This window comes from Homo sapiens, chromosome 15 (assembly GCF_000001405.40).
Source record: "Homo sapiens chromosome 15, GRCh38.p14 Primary Assembly".
Lineage (NCBI taxonomy): Eukaryota > Metazoa > Chordata > Mammalia > Primates > Hominidae > Homo > Homo sapiens.
This window is the reverse complement of record NC_000015.10, coordinates 74,461,265-74,482,558: the sequence shown is the minus strand read 5'-3', so window position 1 is coordinate 74,482,558 and position 21,294 is coordinate 74,461,265. Positions and strand designations below refer to the sequence as shown.

The 21,294-nt window shown below is 44.1% G+C and overlaps 2 long non-coding RNA genes across 4 annotated transcripts in view, besides 1 other annotated feature; one reads left to right on the top strand and one right to left on the bottom strand.

The window, feature by feature from the left end:
* LOC101929333 (uncharacterized) overlaps nt 1–4,412 on the top strand; it is a 12,138-nt gene extending 7,726 nt beyond the window's left edge. The window contains exon 2 of the long non-coding RNA NR_198993.1: nt 1,156–4,412. This is a non-coding gene — a long non-coding RNA (uncharacterized LOC101929333). The remainder of the gene's footprint in view (nt 1–1,155) is intronic.
* On the bottom strand, nt 1,267–21,294 carry UBL7-DT (UBL7 divergent transcript). 3 transcript variants are annotated; one of them, NR_038448.1, is made up of 5 exons: nt 20,461–21,294; nt 16,429–16,523; nt 3,281–3,499; nt 1,645–1,938; nt 1,267–1,508 (listed from the first exon to the last, which is right to left on the bottom strand). It is a non-coding gene; the product is annotated as a UBL7 divergent transcript (long non-coding RNA). The 3 variants fall into 3 exon arrangements; NR_038449.1 differs by lacking the exon at nt 1,645–1,938 and having other exon boundaries at nt 20,528–21,294; NR_120377.1 differs by lacking the exon at nt 1,645–1,938 and having other exon boundaries at nt 20,532–21,294.
* Nucleotides 19,880–20,380: an enhancer, noted in NCBI's record as "H3K4me1 hESC enhancer chr15:74754520-74755020 (GRCh37/hg19 assembly coordinates)". NCBI's record gives its function as "activates a minimal SCP1, AML or CMV promoter by ChIP-STARR-seq in primed H9 embryonic stem cells {active_cell/tissue: H9 hESC(primed)}" and the evidence as "EXISTENCE:reporter gene assay evidence [ECO:0000049][PMID:30033119]".

Sequence of the window (21,294 nt, the reverse complement as noted above, 5' to 3'; positions counted from 1 at the left end):
CGATCTTGGCTCACTGCAACCTCTGCCTCCCGAGTTCAAGCAATTCTCGTGCTTCAGCCTCCCAAGTAGCTGGGATTACAGGTGCCTGCCACCACGTCCAGCTAATTTTTGTATTTTTAGTAGAGACGAGGTTTCACCATGTTGGCCAGGCTGGTCTTGAATTCCTGACCTCAAGTGATCTGCCCCCCTTGGCCTCCCAAAGTGCTGGGATTACAGGTGTGAGCCACCATGCCCAGCCTAGAAATTTTAAAGAACTCGATCGAGCAACTCTTGAGTCAACAGGGTAATACAAACCAAAATTGCAGAATTTTATAAAATAACAATAATGAAAACACAGCTTATCTGAATTTATGAGGTACTGCAAAAGCATTGTTAGGAAATGTATTACATCAAATACACATATCAGTAAAAGTAAACATCAACTAAAAAGGAAAAAAGCAAAGTAAACCAAGAGAAAGTAGAAGGTAGGAATGAATATAGACATAAATAGAAATTAATAAGTGAGGGCCGGGGGCAGTAGCTCACGCCTGTAATCCCAGCACTTTGAGAGGCTGAGGCAGGTGATCACTTTTAGCTTAGGAGTTCGAGACCAGCCTGGGCAACATGGCGAAACCCTGTCTCTACTAAAAATACAAAAATTAGCCAGGCACATGGTGGCGCGTACCTGTAATCCCAGCTACTCAGGAGGCTGAGGCAGGAGAATCACTTGAACCTGGGAGGCAGAGGTTGCAGTGAGCTGAGATTGTTCCACTGTACTACAGGCTGGGCAACAGAGTGAGACTCCATCTCCAAAAAAAAAGAAAGAAATTAATGAATTAGGAAACAGAAAAAACGGTGTTTGGAGCTGGAGATGGCATGGGCACTGGTAGAGCTATTCTGGCTGTGGTGAGGAGGTGACCCCTGCCTGGTCCAGGAACTCCCAACTCTCCCTGCACCCTCCTTGGCTCCAGCCTTTGAAGCATGTCTGCCTGCCCCACTCCTAGTTTCCTGCGTTTCCTTGTCCTCTGCCCCTCCCCGCACCATTGAAGGCAGAAGCATGGGGTGCTCCCCTGTGCCAGCCGTCCACGGGCAGCACCAATGGGCAGAAGGCAGTGAGGTCTCTGATTCGCCTCTCTCGTTTCTCCATTCCACCTCCCCGTCCCCCTCCATAAGAAGACTGGATGCCTGTGCTAACGCAGAGATTGAGAGACCCCAACATAAACCCTTGCTTGAAGGAATCTGATGCTTCTACCAGAGGAATGGATGAAAATGACCATGACAGGGAAACATGTTCCATTTATTTATTTATTTATTGGTGGTCTTGCTGTGGTGTCCAGGCTGGCCTCAAACTGCTGGACTCAAAGGATCCTCCTGCCTCAGCCTCCTGAGTAACTGTAATTATAGGCCACCACTCTAGGCTCTACTTCTTGGAACGCAAAAACTACCGAGAGTCTGGAATTTTATCATGGTCCGAAGAATACAGGATGGAGTGAAGCCATCTGTGTCCATAGCAGAGAGAGAGATGAAATCTTGGGAAAATGGGAAAGAAGCCCTATTGAATGTTTGCATTAAAATTGTTTTTATAAATTGATGCCCACATCAACATGGACAAATATCATAATCGTTATGCTGAGTGAGAGAAAACAGACTCAAAGGGCTACATACTGTATTGAGAGGTGACAGCGTGCTGGCAGTCCTCAGAGCCCTCGCTTGCTCTCGGCACCTCCTCTGCCTGGGCTCCCAGTTTGGCGGCACTTGAGGAGCCCTTCAGCCCACCACTGCACTGTGGGAGCCCCTTTCTGGGCTGGCCAAGGCTGGAGCCCACTCCCTCAGCTTGCAGGGAGGTGTGGAGGGAGAGGCGCGAGCGGGAACCGGGGCTGCGTGAGGCGCTTGCGGGCCAGCTGGAGTTCCGGGTGGGCGTGGGCTTGGCGGCCCCGCACTCGGAGCAGTCGGCCAGCCCTGCTGGCCCCGGGCAATGAGGGACTTAGCACCCGGGCCAGCAGCTGCGGAGGGTGTACTGGGTCCCCCAGCAGTGCCAGCCCACCGGCGCTGCGCTCAATTTCTCACGGAGGCTTAGCTGCCTTCCCGCCGGGCAGGGCTTGGGACCTGCAGCCCCCCATGCCTGAGCCTCCCACCCACTCCGTGGGTTCCTGTGCAGCCTGAGCCTCCCTGATGAGCGCCGCCCCCTGCTCCACGGCGCCCAGTCCCATCCACCACCCAAGGGCTGAGGAGTGCGGGCGTATGGCACTGGGACTGGCAGGCAGCTCCACCTGCAGCGCAGGTGTGGGATTCACTGGGTGAAGCCAGCTGAGCTCCTGAGTCTGGTGGGGCCTTGGAGGACTTTTATGTCTAGCTCAGGGATTGTAAATACACCAATCGGCACTCTGTATCTAGCTCAAGGTTTGTAAACACACCTATCAGCACCCTGTGTCTAGCTCAGGGTTTGTGAGTGCACCAATCCACACTCTATCTAACTGCTCTGGTGGGGCCTTGGAGAACCTTTATGTCTAGCTCAGTGATTGTAAACACACCAATCGGCACTCTGTATCTAGCTCAAGGTTTGTAAACACTCCAATCAGCACCCTGTGTCTAGCTCAGGGTTTGTGAATGCACCAATCGACACTCTGTATCTGGCTACTCTGGTGGGGCCTTGGAGAACCTTTATGTCTAGCTCAGGGATTGTAAATACACCAATCGGCACTCTGTATCTACCTCAAGGTTTGTAAACACACCAATCAGCACCCTGTGTCTAGCTCAGGGTTTGTGAGTGCACCAGTTGACACTCTGTATCTAGCTACTCTGGTGGGGCCTTGGAGAACATTTATGTCTAGCTTAGGGTTTGTGAGTGCACCAATCGACACTCTGTATCTAGCTGCTCTGGTGGGGCCTTGGAGAACCTTTGTGTCGATACTCTGTGTCTAACTAATCTGATGGGGCCATGGAGAACCTTTGTGTCTAGCTCAGGGATTGTAAATGCACCAATCAGCGCCCTGTCAAAACAGACCACTTGGCTCTACCAATCAGCAGGATGTGGGTGGGGCCAGATAAGAGAATAAAAGCAGGCTGCCCGAGCTAGCAGTGGCAACCCGCTCGGGTCCCCTTCCACACTGTGGAAGCTTTGTTCTTTCGCTCTTTGCGATAAATCTTGCTACTGCTCACTCTTTGGGTCCACGCTGCTTTTATAAACTGTAACACTCACAGCAAAGGTCTGCAGCTTCACTCTTGAAGCCAGCGAGACCATGAGCCCACCGGGAGGAACAAACAACTCCAGACGTGCTGCCTTAAGAGCTGTAACACTCACCGCGAAAGTCTGCAGCTTCACTCCTGAGCCAGCGAGACCACGAACCCACCAGAAGGAAGAAACTCCGAACACATCCGAACATCAGAAGGAACAAACTCCAGACGCGCCACCTTAAGAGCTGTAACACTCACCGCGAGGGCCCATGGCGTCATTCTTGAAGTCAGTGAGACCAAGAACCCACCAATTCCGGACACAGTATGATTCCATTTATGTGACATTCTGGAAAAGGCAAAACCTTAAAGTTACCAGCTGCTGAAATTGGGGATGAAAAGTGCTGACAAAGAGGCATGAGTTATAATTGAATCTTGATTGTGGTAGTACTTATACTATTGTGTATATATGTCAAAAGTCATCATATTGTACAGTTAAAATAATTTTATTGCATGGAAATTAGGCCTAAATAAAGTTTTTTTTTTTTTTTTTTTTTTGAGAAAGGGTCTTACTCTGTCACCCAGGCTGGAGTGCAGTATCATGATCTCAGCTTACTGCAACCTCCTCTGCCTGGGCTTAAGTGTGATTCTTGTGCCTCAGCCTCCTCAGGAGCTGGGACTACAGGTGTGTGCCACTACGCCTAGCTAATTTTTGTATTTTTAATAGAGATGAGGTTTCACCATGTTGCCAGCCTGGTCTCGAACTCCTGACCTCAGGTGATCCACCTACCTTGACCTCCCAAAGTGCCAGGATTACAGGTGTGAGCCACTGTGTCTGGCCATAAATTTGATTTTAAAACTAAAAAAAACCTGTTTGTATAACTTTGATGCAAATAATTTTTTTTCTTTTTTTCTTTTTTTTTTTTTTCGAGACGGAGTTTTGCTCTTGTGCAGGCTGGAGTGCAGTGGTGCAATCTCAGCTCACTGCAACCTCTGCCTTCCGGGTTCAAGCGAGTCTCTTGCCTCAGCCTCCTAAGTAGCTGGGATTACAGATGCCCGCCACCATGCCCAGCTAATTTTTGCATTTTTAGTAGAGACGGGGTTTCGCTATGATGGCCAGGCTGGTCTCGAACTCCTGACATCAGGTGATTGACCTGCCTCAGCCTCCCAAAGTGCTGGAATTACAGGCATGAGCCACTGTGCCTGGCCAAGAACATTGTTTTAATGTCAACTGACAATAAACTATCTATCTGAATCCTAAACCCAGCTCAGAAGATTTTAAGTCATATGACCTTGATTGTTAAATATTATTCTATTTGAATAAAAAATGGATTGTTTCAAAAAAAAGAAAAAATATAAAAAACATAAATTAACTGAACTGCTGTTTCTTAGAGAAAACAAATCAGTCAAGTAGACGAACTGCTAGCTAACCTAATCAAGAACAAAAGGATATGTTCCCAACACAAAGAGATGGTATTTGAGGTGAAGGATATCCCAGTTACCCAGATTTGAACATTACATATTGTATGCTTTTATGAAAATATCACATGCGTTCCATAAATATTTATGACTATTATGTATTCATAATTTTTTTTTTAAAAAAGGAAAGGAAAAAGGCATCAGTGTGCAAGATAAGAAATGACAAAGAGGACAACCACTGAAACAGAAGACAATTTACAAATCCTAAGATACTACTTTTCTCAAGCCTAGACAAATGCCTTTGAAAACCTAGATTAAATAAATAATTTTCTACAAAAATATTACTTACCCAAATTGACCCTGGTAAACACAGAACATTTAAACAAATTAACGAATTGCTCTTTAACAAGTCACAAGGCCCAGATGGATTCACAGGAGAATTTACCAAACCTTCACAGCTACTTAAAATGTTCCAGAGCATAAAAAAAGAAAGCTTCTACTTATTTTTAAACGGCTGCATGCATTTTAAAGAAACTAAGAGGAAAAAGTAGTCTTTTCACATATTTATAAATTTGTCCTTACTTCACTCACTTTGTTTAAACAAGGTTAGGCACATATTAACCATTTCTGATGCTCAACAGTCTTTTCTGAAAATTCCAGTTTCCATCTGGTTCTGGCAAAGGGGTGCAAAGGAGAGATGGAGTAGCACCTACAACTGGAAGACGAAGCTTTTCCAGATAACCTTGGCAGCGTTTTACTGGCCAGAGAGGTCGAGGTCATCCCCAGTTGCAAGGGAGGCAGGGAATTGTAATGTTTTAGCTGGACACATTGTGATATGGTGTGGCTGTGTCCCCACCCAAATCTCATCTTGAATTGTACTCCCAAAATTCCCACATGTTGTGGGAGGGACCCAGTGGGGGATAATTGAATCATGGGGGTGGTTCCCCCATACTGTTCTTGTGGTAGTGAGTAAGTCTCACGAGATCTGATGGTTTGATAAGGGGAAACCTGTTTCGCTTGGCTCTCATTCCCTTCTCTTGTCTGCTGCCACGTGAGACGTGCCTTTCACCTTCTGCCATGTTGGTGAGGTGTCCCCAGCCACGTAGAATTGTAAGTCCAATAAACCTCTTTCATTTGTAAATTGCCCAGTCTCGGGTATGTCTTTATCAGCAGCATGAAAAATGGACAAATACACATTACTTCCTCCATCAAATTCAGGGTTGTACTAGTCAAGAAGAAAAGGAGACCAGTCATTGGGTAGAAGGAAAGCAGTGACTGCCATAGCCCACCCTTGGCTATCCATCCTCACATGCACAGAATATACTCCCTTTCTAAGGTAGACAGTGCCAAAGTCTCACCCAGAGCCTACATCCATCTCAAAACCCAGAATCTGCAGCTGATATACAGCTTTCTCCATTTAGTCTTGATGTGAATCTTCACAGTCCAGTAATCTGTAAGCTAAAAGGCAAGTTATCTTCCCCCAGCATGTCTCATATACAATAATGGAGAAGGAACAGAATAAAACTTCAATGTAGGACAAGGAAGAATGTGAATAAAGGAAAGAATCTCTCTGTTTTAAGCATGTCAAAGCTATTGCAAATATTGGATCTATAACAAATGTCAGATCCTGCTAGACAGGAGTGGCCAGGACTCCCTTCCAGGCAGGGAATAATTTCCTTGTTCAGCCAACCTATTCTCTAGGAGGAATTCCCTTCTCTATTGTACTCTGTGGTCCAAGTTCCATCTTCTTTTGAGACGGCTTCTTGTTCATTATCCTCTTAACCATATCTGAAGTGAACTTTGGGGAGAATATGCTTTCTGTTGTGTGAGTTTAGGAACCTGGGATTGAAGAATTATACGCTTTTGCTGGCCAGGTTTTTAAATTTTCATTTTTGGTGATATGATTCCTTAAAAATTGTTGTAGGCTCTCAGTGTATTTGCCTCTGGTTGATCCTACGTTTGAGTCGCCATAGCCAAATCTCCTATATGGCCATAGTCTTTTAGACCTGAAAACCTTCCTTTGTTGGCTACTGGCCTTTGTGTCCTGCCTGTCCCTTTAGCCTTTAACTTAATGATTATTGACTTGAGACAATTTGAAACAAAAGATTCTAGTGGGAAGAAACCACTTTGCGGACTCCACTTCCTCTGCTGAATGAATTCTTAGAGGAAGGTGCTTAGGAAAGGCCCAAGATACCAACCAGTCTTACCTTCTTCTACCATATTGCTTGGCAGCCACTACTCCTATATGGAGAAAAGAGCAATTATCTTTTTTTTTTTTTTTTTTGAAACAGGGTCTTGTTTGGCTCTGTTGCCCCGGCTAGAGTGCAGTGGTGTGATCACGGCTCACTGCAGCCTCAACCTTCCTAGGCTCAGGTGATCTTCTTGCCTCAGCCTCCCAAGTAGTTAAGACTACAGGCACATGCCACCACACCAGGCTAAGTTTTTGTATGTTTTGTAGAGACGCGGTCTTGCTATGTTGCCCAGGTTGGTCTCAAACTCCTGGGCTCAAGCGATCTGCCCACCTTAGCCTCCCAAAGTGCTAGGAATACAGGCATGAGCCACTATGCCTGGCCCAGAGCAATTGTCTTTTTCAGCCCTGCAATTCTCCAAATTATGAAATGCTCCTTCAAAGTAGATTTGCAGGCCATAGGCAGAAGTACTACTTAGTGAAGTAGCACTGCCTTCCTTTTTTCCTTCAGCCTGGATAATTCAAGTTCACTGGTCTCCTTCAAGAATTCATCGAAAGTGGAATGAAGTCACCAGCATGTGCCAACATTCTGAATTATTCTAGCCATTTACCCTATCACTACAGACTTGGCTGGTATGTGGGGTGTCTCCCATAAAATAGCAGATCGACCAAATGTTTTCCCACAGCATAGCAGGGTTGTCAGCATTCCCGTCTGCAGTATCTGTGCCCCCACTGCCCAAAGCTCCGTCTCTACCACTCAACGAAGTCCACGTTTCAGATGATATTATGTGCAGCACCCCACTTCAGTGGACCTAATTCTCTATTTGATAGGAATGCGCTTGGCTGCACTTAACAAACCCAGCAAAGCAAAGGCTTAACAAGAAAGGGGTTTACTTTTTTTACATTACGAGGAGACTGGGATAGGCAGTCCAGGACTCTCGCAGCAGCTCAAGGAATCTGGCTCTTTTTATCTTCTTCAGCCATCCTTAGTGTGTGTCTTTTGGCTTCATGATCACAAGGTGGCTGTAACTCTTCTGGTTTGCAGGTAGGAAGAAGTGGGTAGGGGAAGGCAGAATGCATGTGCCAGTTGAGACTGGCTTCTTCTTCTTTTTGAATCAGGTAATCAATTGCTTTTCCAAAAATACCACCCAGTGACTTTCACTTGTACCTTATTGGCCACATTGACATCCTTAGCTCTGGAAGAATGTGGGGAGATAAATATCTAAAAACTCTAAATAAAATGGGGGTTCTGTGAGAAGGAGAGAATAGGCCAGGCAGTGTGGTGACTCACATCTGTCATTCCAGCACTTTGGGAGGCTGATGTAGGAGGATCTCTTGAGCCCAGGAGGTTGAGACCAGCCTGGGCAACATATTGAGACGCCATCACTGCAAAACATATATTTATTAATTAATTACAGAGATGGGGTCTTGATATGTTGCCCAGGGTGGGCTCAAACTCCTGGGGGTCAAGTGATCCTTCTGCCTTGGCCTCCCAAAGTGCTGGGATTATAGGCATGAGCCACTGTGCCTTGCCTACTACAGAAAATTAAAAAAAAAAAATTAGTTGGGCATGGTGGTGTGCACCTGTGGTTCCAGCTACTTGAGAGGCTGAGGTGGGAGGATGACTTGAGCCCAGGAGGTCAAGGCTGCAGTGAGCTGTGATTACACCACTGCACTCCAGCCTGGGTGACAGAGCAAAATCCTGTCTCAAAAATAAATAAATAAATAAATAAATAAGAATAGATATTGCATAGTCAACTAGGTCTGCCAGACCACTACAAACTGGTTTATACACAAGAAGTAATTTCTTGGCTTAAGAAACTGAAAAGTTCAGAGGGGTTGTTGTTACTTGATCCAGCAGTTTACCAAAATCATCAAGAAGTTAGGTTCTTTCCAGCCCTCCCTTCTGCCTTAGTCCATGTGAGAATACTCTGAGGCTGGCTCCCCTTACAGTCCTCAGAAAGCCCCCATGGCTATGTGCTTTCTCATTCATGCCCAGTGAAAAATATAGTTTCAGCATCCTAGCATTTGTGGCTAACATGCTGAACCCATCACTGGGCTCAGAGGATGGACTGTGCTGAATGGCTTGGCTTATGTGAAGCCACATCCCAGGAACTACATGGATTGATCCCCAAAGGGAAAGTATGGTCTGTTGAAAAGAGGCCAGGGATCTCTGGGAGTGATGTGGGAAAATGGATAAGACAACCAACAAATGTCCTCCAGCATAGCTGAAGTAAGAGACAAGAAAGGGGATGAGTTACCACTGGAGAGGCTGAACCCAGGACAGTCCCTGAGGTGACACTGGTGATGCTCATCTGAACACTGCTGGGGGAGAGGGAGCCCTGGGCCAAAGTCACATCCTGTGCAATTCTAGCGGCAGATCCATCTTTACTGTGAGGGTCTTGAAAGCACACTCTTATTCTCCCTTGACCCCCTCTCCCATTGTGGTGCTCTGATTCTAGCTCTCCAGGCAGGCTTGTGATTATATTTGGCTTTCCATGTGTTTTGTTGCTTTGTTTTGTTTGTTTGTTTTTTGAGACAGAGTCTCACTCTGTTGCCCAGGCTGGAGTGCAGTGGCGTGATCTCGGCTCACTGCAACCTCCGCCTCCTGGGTTCCAGTGATTCTCCTGCCTCAGCCACCAGATTAGCTGGGATTATAGGCACCCGCCACCATGCCTGGCTAATTTTTTTGTATTTTTAATAGAGATGGGGTTTCACCATGTTGGCCAGGCTGGTCTCCAACTCCTGACCTCAAGCGATCCACCCACCTCGGCCTCCCAAAGTGTTAGGATTACAGGTGTGAGCTATGGTGCCTGACCCCATCTATAGCCTTTTGTGTCTAGCTTCTTTCATTCAACATTATATTAATGGGATTCTTCCAGGTTATTGTGAATAGGGGTGGCTCCATAACTCTCATTACTTTATAGTGCACCATAGTTTGAATATAACACAATGTATTCATTCATTCTACTATTGGTGAATATTTGTGTTATTTCCCATTTAGCGCTATCAGGAATGGTGCTGCAATGAATATTCTTGCACATGTCTTTTGTGAGCACGTGTGCATTTCTGTTATCTACATACTTAGGAATAGAATTGCTGGGATATAGGATAAGTGTAAATTCAGCTTCAGTGCATATTGCCAAACGTCTCAAGTAGCTGTACTAATTTACACTCCTACCAGAACCACGAGAGTACTAGTTTCTTCACATCCTTGCCAACACTTGGTATTATTGATCTTTTTAATTGTAGTCATTCTGATGGGTGTATAGTAGTATTTTTGTTTTAATTTACATATTTCTTATGACTAGTGAGCATGAGTAAATTTCCATATGAACATTTAGATATCCTTTTTGGTGAAGTATCTGTTCATGTAAGATTCAAGTCTGCTTCATAGACTCTTCTACAAGATCAGAAGGGCAGCTAGGCAGGTCATGAGGCTCACAGCAAGAGATGCTAAAGATGAAAAAGAACTTTGAGGCCTGGTACAGTGGCTCACACCTGTAATCCTAGCATTTTGGGAAGCCGAGGCAGGTGGATCACTTGAGCTCAGAAGTTCAAGACCAGCCTGGGCAACATGGTGACACCCCGTCTCCACAAAAAATGCAAATACTAGCCAAGCATGGTAGTGTGCGCCTATAGTCCCAACCATTTGTGGGGCTGAGGGAGGAGGATAGCTTGAACATAGGAGGTCGAGGTTGCAGTAAGCCGAAATCATGTCACTCCACTCCAGCCTGGGTGACAAAGTGAGACCCTGTCTCAAACCACAAAAACAATAACAACAACAACAACAAACAACTTTGCATCAGGCCGGGCACAGTGGCTCACGCCTGTAATCCTAGCACTTTGGGAGGCCGAGGTGGGCAGATTGCCTGAGCTCAGGAATTCAAAACCACCCTGGGCAACATTGTGAAACCCCATCTCTACTAAAAATAAAAAAATTAGCCGGGCGTGATGACATGTGCCTGTAGTCCCAGCTACTCGGGAGACCGAGGTGGAAGGATCATTTGAGCCCAGGAGGTTGAGGCTGCAGTGAGCTGTGATCACAGAGCACCTTAGGGGCACAGAACAGGGCATACTTCATATTTTCTCTTGTATTAAAATTATTCATGGAAAAACTTATGCATGTACATATCCCCTTCAGGATTCTGAGCTTCTTGTATATGCTTCATTCTCACATTTTCCTCAGCTCCTGACATAATATCTTGCATATAATAGGCACTTGAATATTTGTGAAATAAAACTTCAGCCATAAAGGTAGACATTTCTTTTTTGTCCTTTTTTTTTTTTTTTTTTTTTTGAGATGGAGTCTCGCTCTGTCACCCAGGCTGGAGTGCAGCGGCATGATCTCAGCTCACTACAACCTCCGCCTTCCAGGTTCAAGCAATTCTCCTGCCTCAGCCTCCTGAGTAGCTGGGATTACAGGTGTGTGCCACCACACCTGGCTAATTTTTGTATTTTCAGTAGAGAATACAAAATCAAGAAGTTAGGTTCTTTCCTAACTTAACGGTTTCACCGTGTTGGTCAGGCTGGTCTGCAACTCCTGACCTCGTGATCTGCCCGCCTTGGCCTCCTAAAGTGCTAGGATTACAGGCATGAGCCACCGCGCCCAGTCTCTTTGTCTATTTTTATTTCAGGCTACAGGAGAAGAAAAAGACTTACAGATGTGGTAAGACCTATCTTTATATTTCACAATCATTTTAGTGGACTCATAGTCTTTATTCTTTATTCTCCAGTCAAGTGAAGGGTTGGTGGAATCCCAGCACAGTGATTGATGGGTGGAATCATTCAAATTTTGATGGGGTCCTTTTTTGGGGTCTTCTATGTCAGGGGTCCTCAACCCCAGGGGGTTGGGGTTGAAGCCTTTTAGGAACCAGGCTGCACAGCAGGAGGTGAGCGGCGTGAGCGAGGCGTCATCTGTATTTACAGCTGCTCCCCACTACTCGTATTACTGCCTGAGCTCTGCCTCCTGTCAGATCAGTGGCAGCATTAGGTTCTTACAGGAGCATAAACCCTACTGTGAACTGCACATGCAAGGGATCTAGGTTGCTCCTTATGAGAATCTAATGCCTGATGATCTGTCATTGTCTCTCATCACCCCCAGACGGGACCATCTATTTGCAGGAAAACTAGCTCAGGGCTCCCACTGACTCTACATTATGGTGAGTTGTATAATTACTTCATTTTATATTACAATGTAATAATAACAGAAATCAAGTGCACAATAAATGTGAGGCACTTGAATCATCCTGAAACCATCTCCCTACCCTGGTCTGTGGAAAAATTATCTTCCATAAAACTAGTCCCTGGTGCTGAAAAGGTTGGGGACTGCTGTTGTATGTGTTTCTATTTTTCCTTTTTTATTAGAGTAAAATACACATAACCAAAAATGACCATTGTAGCCATTCTAAGTGTACAATTCAGTGATATTTAGCACATTCACATTGTTGTGCAACCATCGCCATGTCTATCTCCAGAACTTTTTCCATCTTCCGAAACTGAAACTCTGTTCCACTGAACAAAAAATAATTCCTCATTCCCTCTTAACCCCAGTCCTGGACGACAATCATTTTACTTTCTGTCTCCATGATTTTAACTACTCTAGGTACCTCACATTAGTGGAATCATACAGTATTTGTCCTTTGTGACTGGCTTATTTCACTTAGCATATTAAGTGACATAGTTTTTTCTCTTGAGAACAGGGTCTTGCTCTGTTGCCCAGGCTGCAGTGCAGTGGCACAATCATGGCCCACTGCAGCCTTGACCTCTCAGGTTTAACCAATCCTCTCACCTCAGCCTCCCAAGCAGCTGGGACTACAGGCACATGCCACCATGCTTGGCTAATTTTTAAATTTTTTGTAGAGATGGAATCTCACTGCATTGCCTGGGTTGGTCTCAAACTTCTGGGCTCAAGTGATCCTCCTGCCTCAGCCTCCCAAAGTACTGGGATTACAGGCATAAGCCACTCCGCCCGGCCAAGCTTTTTAATCTTTCTGGATCCACAATTAAAAGCATAGCAACTGGGTGACAAAACAAAAAATCCATGGACAGTGTTTACAAAATAACTAGGTGCTATGGCCTGAAATCCCAGCACTTTGGGGGCCCGAGGCAGGTGGATCACTTGAGGTCAGGAGTTTGAGATCAGCCTTGCCAACATGGTGAAACCTTGTTTCTACAAAAAATACAAAAATTAGTCAGGTGTGGTGGCACATGCCTGTAGTCCTAGCTACTCGGGACGCTGAGGCAGGAGAATCATTGAACCCGGGAGGTGGAGGTTGCAGTGAGCCAGGATTGCATCACTACACTCCAGCCTGGGTGACAGAGCAAGCCTCTGTCTCAAAAAAAGAGAAAAAAAAAAAAACCTAGGTGCTATGGACTGAATTGCCCCCTACCCACCACAAATTTATATATTGAAGGCTTAACCCCCAGTGTAACTTCAAATGTGATTTGGAGATTGGGCTTGTAGGAGGTTATTAAGATTAAATGAGGTTGGCCAGGCGCAGTGGCTTATGCCTGTAATCCCAGCACTTTGGGAGGCCGAGGTGGGCAGATCATGAGGTCAGGAGATTGAGACCATCCTAGCTAACAGGGTGAAACCCCGTCTCTACCGAAAAATACAAAAAAAATTTAGCCGAGCGTGATGGCGGGTGCCTGTAGTCCCAGCTACCTGGGAGGCTGAGGCAGGAGAATGGCGTGAACCCGGGAGGTGGAGCTTGCAGTGAGCCGAGTTTGCGCCACTGCACTCCAGCCTGGGCAACAAAGCGAGACTCCGTCCCAAAAAAAAAAAAAAAAAATGAGGTCATGATGGTGGGGCCATAATCCAATAGGACTGGTGGCCTTATAAGAGGGGGAAGATCTCTCTTTCTTCCATTACAGGCATCAAGGAAAGATTGTATGAGGACAGAGCAAGAAGGTGGCCATGTGCAAGCCAGGAAAAGAGCCCTCACCAGAAATTGAACACTGCTGAACTTTGATCTTGGACTCTCCAGCCTCCAGAACTGGGAGAAAATAAGTTTCTGTTGTTTAAGCCACACAGTCTGTATTTTGTTATATTAGCCTAAACAGACTAATATCAGGTGATGATATATCCCCATTAACTGCAAAATCCAAATTGGTGAGGACAAACTATCGGCAGCTGCAAGACTTGTGTGGCATCATCAGCTGTGCAGAAAGAAGCAGAAGGAAGCAACGCTACAGCTAACAGATCTGAGGATAGGAATTCCTCTAACTAGCCAGCAGGCATTCATTAGAAAGCTTGACTAATTTGCGAACAACAGCTGAAACTGGGAGGTTTTTTGCCCAATAGTGACTAAATGCAAGGGAACTGCTTTAACGTCTTAAAGGACTAGAGCAGCTCGGCCTATGTGAATCCTAAAGCTGGCATGCCAGGGTTTCCCTCCAGAACAGGGTCTCATACTGAGGAAAAACTGCTAGAAATGGAATCAAAATTGATCAGGACAGACATAAATAAAGATGAAGAAAAGAGAAGATCCAGATAAAAATTAGGAAGGCTAATGGCCAGGCGCGGTGGCTCACGCTTGTAATCCCAGCACTTTGGGGGGCCAAGGCAGGCGGATCACGAGGTCAAGAGATGGAGACCATCTGGCTAACATGGTGAAATCCCGTTTCTACTAAAAATACAAAAATTATCTGGGTGTGGTGGTGCATGCCTGTAGCCCCAGCTACTCAGGAGGCTGAGGCAGGAGAATCACTTGAACCCGGGAGGGTGGAGGTTGCAATGAGCCGAGATCCTGCTACTGCACTCCAGCCTAGCGAAAGCGTGAGACTCTGTCTCAAAAAAAAAAAAAAAAAAAAAAAAAATTAGGAAGGCTAATAGAGCTAAAGAATCTCAGAAAGCAAGCTGCCATATTTTTTAACACTACATGAAAACAATAGAGGAGGAAGCTCTCTCAAGTTCAAAATGCTACCCTGAACCACATCTCTTTTTAAAAGCATAGGAAAAGTAATTTCACACAAAAATGAATAACAGAAAATATATAAGCCAAATATCATACAAAATTATGATAAGAGAATAAGCAGCAGAATTATATTTCTATAAATAATAAAAGCATACCAATAAGATGTGAACAGAGAACAGATAAAAACTATAATCATCTATTTTCAAAATAAACTGAAATGTATTAAGAAAATGATATGGCCAGGTGCAGTGGTTCACGTTTATAATCCCAGCACTTTGGGAGGCTGAGGTGGGTGGATCACTTGAGGCCAGGAGTTTGATACCAGCCTGGTCAACATGGTGAAACCCCATCTCTAGTAAAAATTCAAAAATTAGCTGAGTGTGGTGATGCCCGCCTGTAATCCCAGCTACTTGGGAGGCTGAGACAGGAGAATCGCTTGAACTCAGGAGGCAGAGGTTGCAGTAAGCTGAGATCGTGCCACTGCACTCCAGCCTGGGCAACAGAATGAGACTCCATCTCAGAAAAAAAAAAAAAGAAAGAAAATGATATATGAAAACACAACATCAAAAAGAACTTGGAGAACTCAGAAATGAGGTGACAGAACTCAGGAAAGAAACTTATAAATAAAAGAAAAAAAATAGGCCAAGCACAGTGGCTCATGCCTGTAATCCCAGCACTTTGGGAGGCTGAGACAGGTGGATCACCTGAGGTCAGGAGTTTGAGACCAGCCTGGCCAACATGGTGAAACCTCATCTCTACTAACAAATATAAAAATTAGCCGGGCACTGTGGCAGGCACCTATAATCCCACCTACTTGGGAGGCTGAGGCAGGAGAATTGCTTGAACCCGGGAGGTGGAGGTTGTGGTGAGCAGAGATCACGCAACTGCACTTCAGCCTGGGCGACAGAGCGAAATTCTGTCTCAAAAAATAAAAAATAAAAAATAAATACAAAATGAAGACTAAAGCAAAAGGAACACAGAAGAAATAAATACAACAGATGATGCCTTAAGTAGAATGTAGAAAGGAGGAACATTTAAAAAATATTTTTAAAAATGAAGAAAGAGAAAAGATTTGAGAAAAGTGGCAGATATTGAAGAGAAACAACAAAGATACAACATATGGCTAACATGAGTCCTCTTAAGAACCAAACCAAGGCAAGAGAACGGAACTATTCTAAAACCTGTAATTCAAAAATCAATCTTTACTGAAATAAAAAAAATATAAATTACATTTTGGAAGAGAATACCACATAACTGAGACTACTGACCTAAAACAAACAGCACCAAGATGTAGTCAGGTAAAATGACTGGAAATTAAACAAAAAATTTTAAAAACTACTTGGGCAACCTGGTGAAAAGAGCAAGTAACTTGTAAGGGAAAGAAAATTAGATTTCTGTCATCAGATGAAAATGAAATATCTTAAGAAAGAAAATGTGAGCCAACAATTTTATATTTAGCAAACTGATTTTCAAGCATAAAGGCCAGAAATAAACTGCTATTAATATGCAAAAGTTTAGGGAATATCATTCACAGAGAATATTGTAGTCCTTCCAGGAAATCCACTAAAGAACGGGTTCAGTAATAAAAACCACTGGGCCAGGCACAGTGGCTCATGCTTGTAATCCCAACATTTTGGGAGGCCAAGGCGGGTGAATCACTTGAGGCCAGGAGTTTGAGACCAGCCTAGCCAACACGGTGAAACTCTGTCTCTATTAAAAATACAAAAATTAGCCGGGCATTGTGCTACATACCTGTAATCCCAGCTGCTTGGGAGGCTGAGGCAGGAGAATCGCTTGAACCTGGGGTGGAGATGCAGTGAGCCAAGATTGCACCAATGTACTTCAGCCTGGGTGATACAGTGAGACTCTGTGTCAGAAAACAAAACAAAACAACAACAACAACAGCAACAAAAACCAGTGGAAAGCATTAAACATGGAATTCTGATTTTATTTATTTATTTATTTTTGAGATGGAGTTTCACTCTTGTCGCCCAGGCTGGAGTGCAATGGTGTGATCTCGGCTCACTGCAACCTCCACTTCCTGGGTTCAAGCAATTCTCCTGCCTCAAGCTCCCAAGTAGCTGAGATTACAGTGCCCGCCAGCACACCCCCACTAATTTTTGTATTTTTAGTAGAGAAGGGTTTCACTATGTTGGCCAGGCTGGTCTCAAACTCCTGACCTCAGGTGATCTGCCTGTCTCAGCCTCCCAAAGTGCTGGGATTACAGGTGTGCGCTGCCGCACCTGGCCTAAACATGGAATTCTTTGTAGTATTAAGAGAGTTAAAAAGAGGAAGGTAGAGTAATGAGTATAGGCTCAGATAATATACAGCACATCTGTTAAAATGGAGAGAATGAATGGAGGGGATAGAATGAGAAGGGCATATGCAAACATTTTTTTAAACGTCTCAATAATTATATTGGTGGTGATAGTATCATTAGTATTGTTATTTTGAGACAGTTGGGTATGTGATATGGGATAAAGGAAATGAAAATAGATATTTAAATACTGTTGTCCCTTATGTTCTTGAGAACTAGTATTCTCAGTGTGGAAGAAAGGAAATAAAGATGTAATATAGAAAATATTAAATTAAAATTCTGCAGTCTTACTTTGGGAGGCTGAGGTGGGCAGATTGCTTGAGTCCAGTAATTCAAGACCGGCCTGGGCAACATGGTGAAACCCTGCCTCCACAGAAAATACACAAATTAGCTGGGCATGGTGGTGCACAACTGTAGTCCCAGCTACTTGGCAGGCTGAGGTGGGAGAATCGCTTGAGCCTGGGAGTTTGAGGCAGCAGTGAGTCATGATTGCACCTCTGTACTCCAGCCTGGGCAACAGAGGGAGATCCTGTCTCAAAAAAAACAAAACAAAAAGCAACCCATAAAACCAAAAGCCAAAACCAAACCCAACCTCTGTAGTCTTGAATTTGAAGTAGCAGTATAAATATTCTCTATTTATATCTCTATGGATATAGATCTCCCCCTAGCTCCATCCACTAATGTGGCTTACAAGTAACAAACAATTCAGTAGCAATAAGCATCCCTAGTGCCCAGATTGTGGTCTTAATATACCATTTCCCACAGAAAACCATATGAATTTCTTGAAGAAATGGCTAATTTTTATGCCTAGGGCAGGAAGTACAAGATTAGCTAGGAACTCTTGTCATGCTAGATAGCAGGGAGCTATCAAAAACCTCCAGGGTTATGTCAAAAGGACTCAAGAATCAAGTTGAAGAGGAGGCTCCATTGTTATGGTACTGTATTAGTCTGTTCTTGCACTGCTATAAAGAACTACCTGAGACCAGGTGATTTATAAAGAAAAGTGCTTTAATTGACGCACAGTTCTGCAGGCTATACAGGAAGCATGGCTGGGGAAGCCACAGGAAACATACAATCATGGCAGAACGTGAAGGGGAAGCAAGCACATCTTCACATGGCAGAGCAGGAGAGAGAGGGCAAAGGGGGAAGTGCTACACACTTTTGAACAACCAGATCTCTTGAGAACTCACTGTCATGAGAACAGCAAGGGGGAAGTCTGCCCCATGATCCAAACATCATGACCTCCCACCAGGCCCCTCCTCCAACATTGAGGATTACAATTCAACATGAGATTTGGGTGGGGACACAGAGCCAAACCATATCAGGTACCATGAATGTCAACATGAGAAAATACAAGTATATTGTGGAAAATGAGAATCAAGTTTCCTACTATTGCAGAAGGGAGGTAAAATTATAGAGAAGAGGAAGACTAGAGGAAAATATGTGGTATTGGATTGGAATTTGAGGTATTGGTGTGAACTCATATTTTATATATACATATATATTTTGATATATGTGCACATATATATGCTCACATATACATAGATCTATATATACATATACACATCTATATGCACACATATTTAAATATATTTCATAGAAATATAGATGAATGGGTGTGTATATCAATATTCATTTATTTGCTAGGTCTAGTCACTGAAATAGACTGGAAATAATGACATCTCAGTAGCAATAAACACACCTAGCATCCAAACTTGGCTTCTAAATACCATTCCTTACTAAAAGGAACTAAGGCTCTTTGGAGAAATGAATGATGTGACAGATGTGAAAATCTATGACATAACTTATGAAAATGGCAGAGAGATGATCAGCCTCCACCCAACTGGAATGGTTGATGAAAGCTGAATGAGATTGTAAGTTACATGGTATTATTGTATTTATTAATTTCTTGATTTTGCTGGGTTGTACTGTGGCTGTGACATAGAATATATCCTTGTTTTCAGGAAATACAGAAATACTTTGGGTAATGTCTGTAATTGGCTCTTAAACGGATCGGGTGGAAAAACAAAAGAACAATATGCATAGTGAGAGAGTGAGAGAGAAAGAATGATGAGGTAAATGTAAACTATTAACAACTGGGGACTTTGGGTTAAGGGTATGAGGGCATTATTTTGTAATATTTTTGCAACTGTACTGTAAACTTGAAATTATTTCAAAGTAAAAAGTCTCAAGAATATTTGAGCACAGGGGAAATATTCAAGCTAGGTAAAATATGTAGATTACTAAACAAATGTACAGTGTAATCTAAATTTTGTTGAATATACATATTTAAGATTCAGTAAAATTATACTTTTAGAAGCATAAAACAAAGTTAACAATTGTCATCTATTGGTGATAGAATAGCCATGCCCCTCTTAAAGCCAAAAGGCTAGCAGATATCAAGACCTACTCTAAAGTTAGAGAAATCAAGACGTGTGACATTGGCACAATGACAGAAAAATACACCCATGGCACAGAATAAGAGTCAAAAATTGACCCAGACATACATAGTCACCGGATTTATGACAAAGCTGCCACTGAAATTCAGTGGGAACAAAATTTTTAAATAGTGCTGGATCAATTGTACACCCATATGGAAGAGATGAATCTTGATGTCTAACTCCTATCATATACAAAGATTAATGTGAAATTAATCATAGACCTAAATGTGAAAGATAAAATAACACAGAAGAAAACCTAGGATAGTATCTTCATAACGAGGGCAGGCAAAGATTTCTTACATAGGACACAAAAGGCACTAACCATCACAACAAAATTTCAGGCCGGGCGTGGTGGCTACCGCTTGTAATCCCAGCACTTTGGGATCACCTGAGGTCAGGAGTTCGAGCAGCCTGGCCAACGTGGTGAAACCCCGTCTCTACTAAAAATACAAAAATTAGCCGGGCGTGGTGGCAGGTACCTGTAGCCCCAGCTCCTCAAGAGGCTGAGGCATGAGAATCTCTTGAACCCGGGAGGCGGAGGGTGCAGTGAGCCGAGATCGGCCACTACTGCACTCCAATCTGGGCGACAGAGCAAGACTCCGTCTCAAAAAAAAAAAAAAGTTTTAAAATGAAATTAAATTATCTAATACCATTAAGAGTAAAAAAAAAATCATGAACTGGGAAAGTATTCACAATATATAATTTTGATAAATTATGGAGCTCAGGTGCAAGTAACTTAGTAGGCAGGAGAGGAAGGAGTCTAAAGAAGTCTAGTTAGGAAGGATTACTGAAAGAGGGGGTATATCTAAAAATGGGTAGGATGGGAAAGGGAGACTTTGGGAACAGCCATGGGTTCCTAATGCGCCCACAACATACATGGGAGTTATCCTGAAGATAAACTCCCTGAAGACAGTGAAAGCCATTTCAAAACTCCCCATATAACTTATGAGAACAGAGGGGTGATCTGCCTTTAATGTTAGGCCTTCTGAGATCCTGCGATCTGTTCGCTCTCCTCAGTAACATTACCCTGCTCAATTGCTGCCTTAATCCCAGGTCGCACATTGGAATGTGGGAATTCAGCGTTTACATTTACCCACACAGGATCAGCCTTCAGCTGCTACGATCAACTTCAGTATTTTCATATAATCACTTTTTTCTTTCCTTAGTTCTTGAATTATTAATTCCTTGAGAAGAGTCCAATCAGAGGTAGTCTTTCTTCAGTATTTTCGGTAATCCTAATTTCTGTGCAAAAAAATTTCTGTTCCATTTTAACCGTGCAGAACTTTCTGTTATCTAAAACACAGTTTCTCTATGAGAGTTCAGTGAAAATTCCCCTTCCCAAACTGATTCTATGAATGACTGTTAGATAAGCTTCACCACTGCATGTAGAGGGTGTACCAGGAACCCAAGTTAGTAGCTCTCCTCAAAGACCCAACTTTTGGAGGGGGTCATCGTCTGGTTCCTGGTATGCCTCCACAGGTAGGTCCGCCTCAGGAAGTCAGCGGCGAGGAGCACAGAAGAGGCTGCCTTCACCAACGGACAGCAGTTTTCATCGTGAGGGCCGTCGGCAACCGCTTGGATGTGTCTAAAGGGGCCGTTTGGGAACCGGCCCTTCTGGAGGGAAGGGTCGGAGTGGGAGGGGATCCGGGATCCGCCTTACGGCCGAGTGTCCAGCAGCGCGTTCCAACCTGGCAGAACCGACGTACTTCATATGCTCCTCAGGGGAGCGCGGGAATCACCAGGCTGAAGAATGACTGGAAATGGGACCCTCTCCAACCAAAGCACCCAGACATTCCGGCGCCGGACATTTCAAAGAGCGCGGAAGCCACGCCTTCCCCCAGAACCGGAAGCTTTGCAACT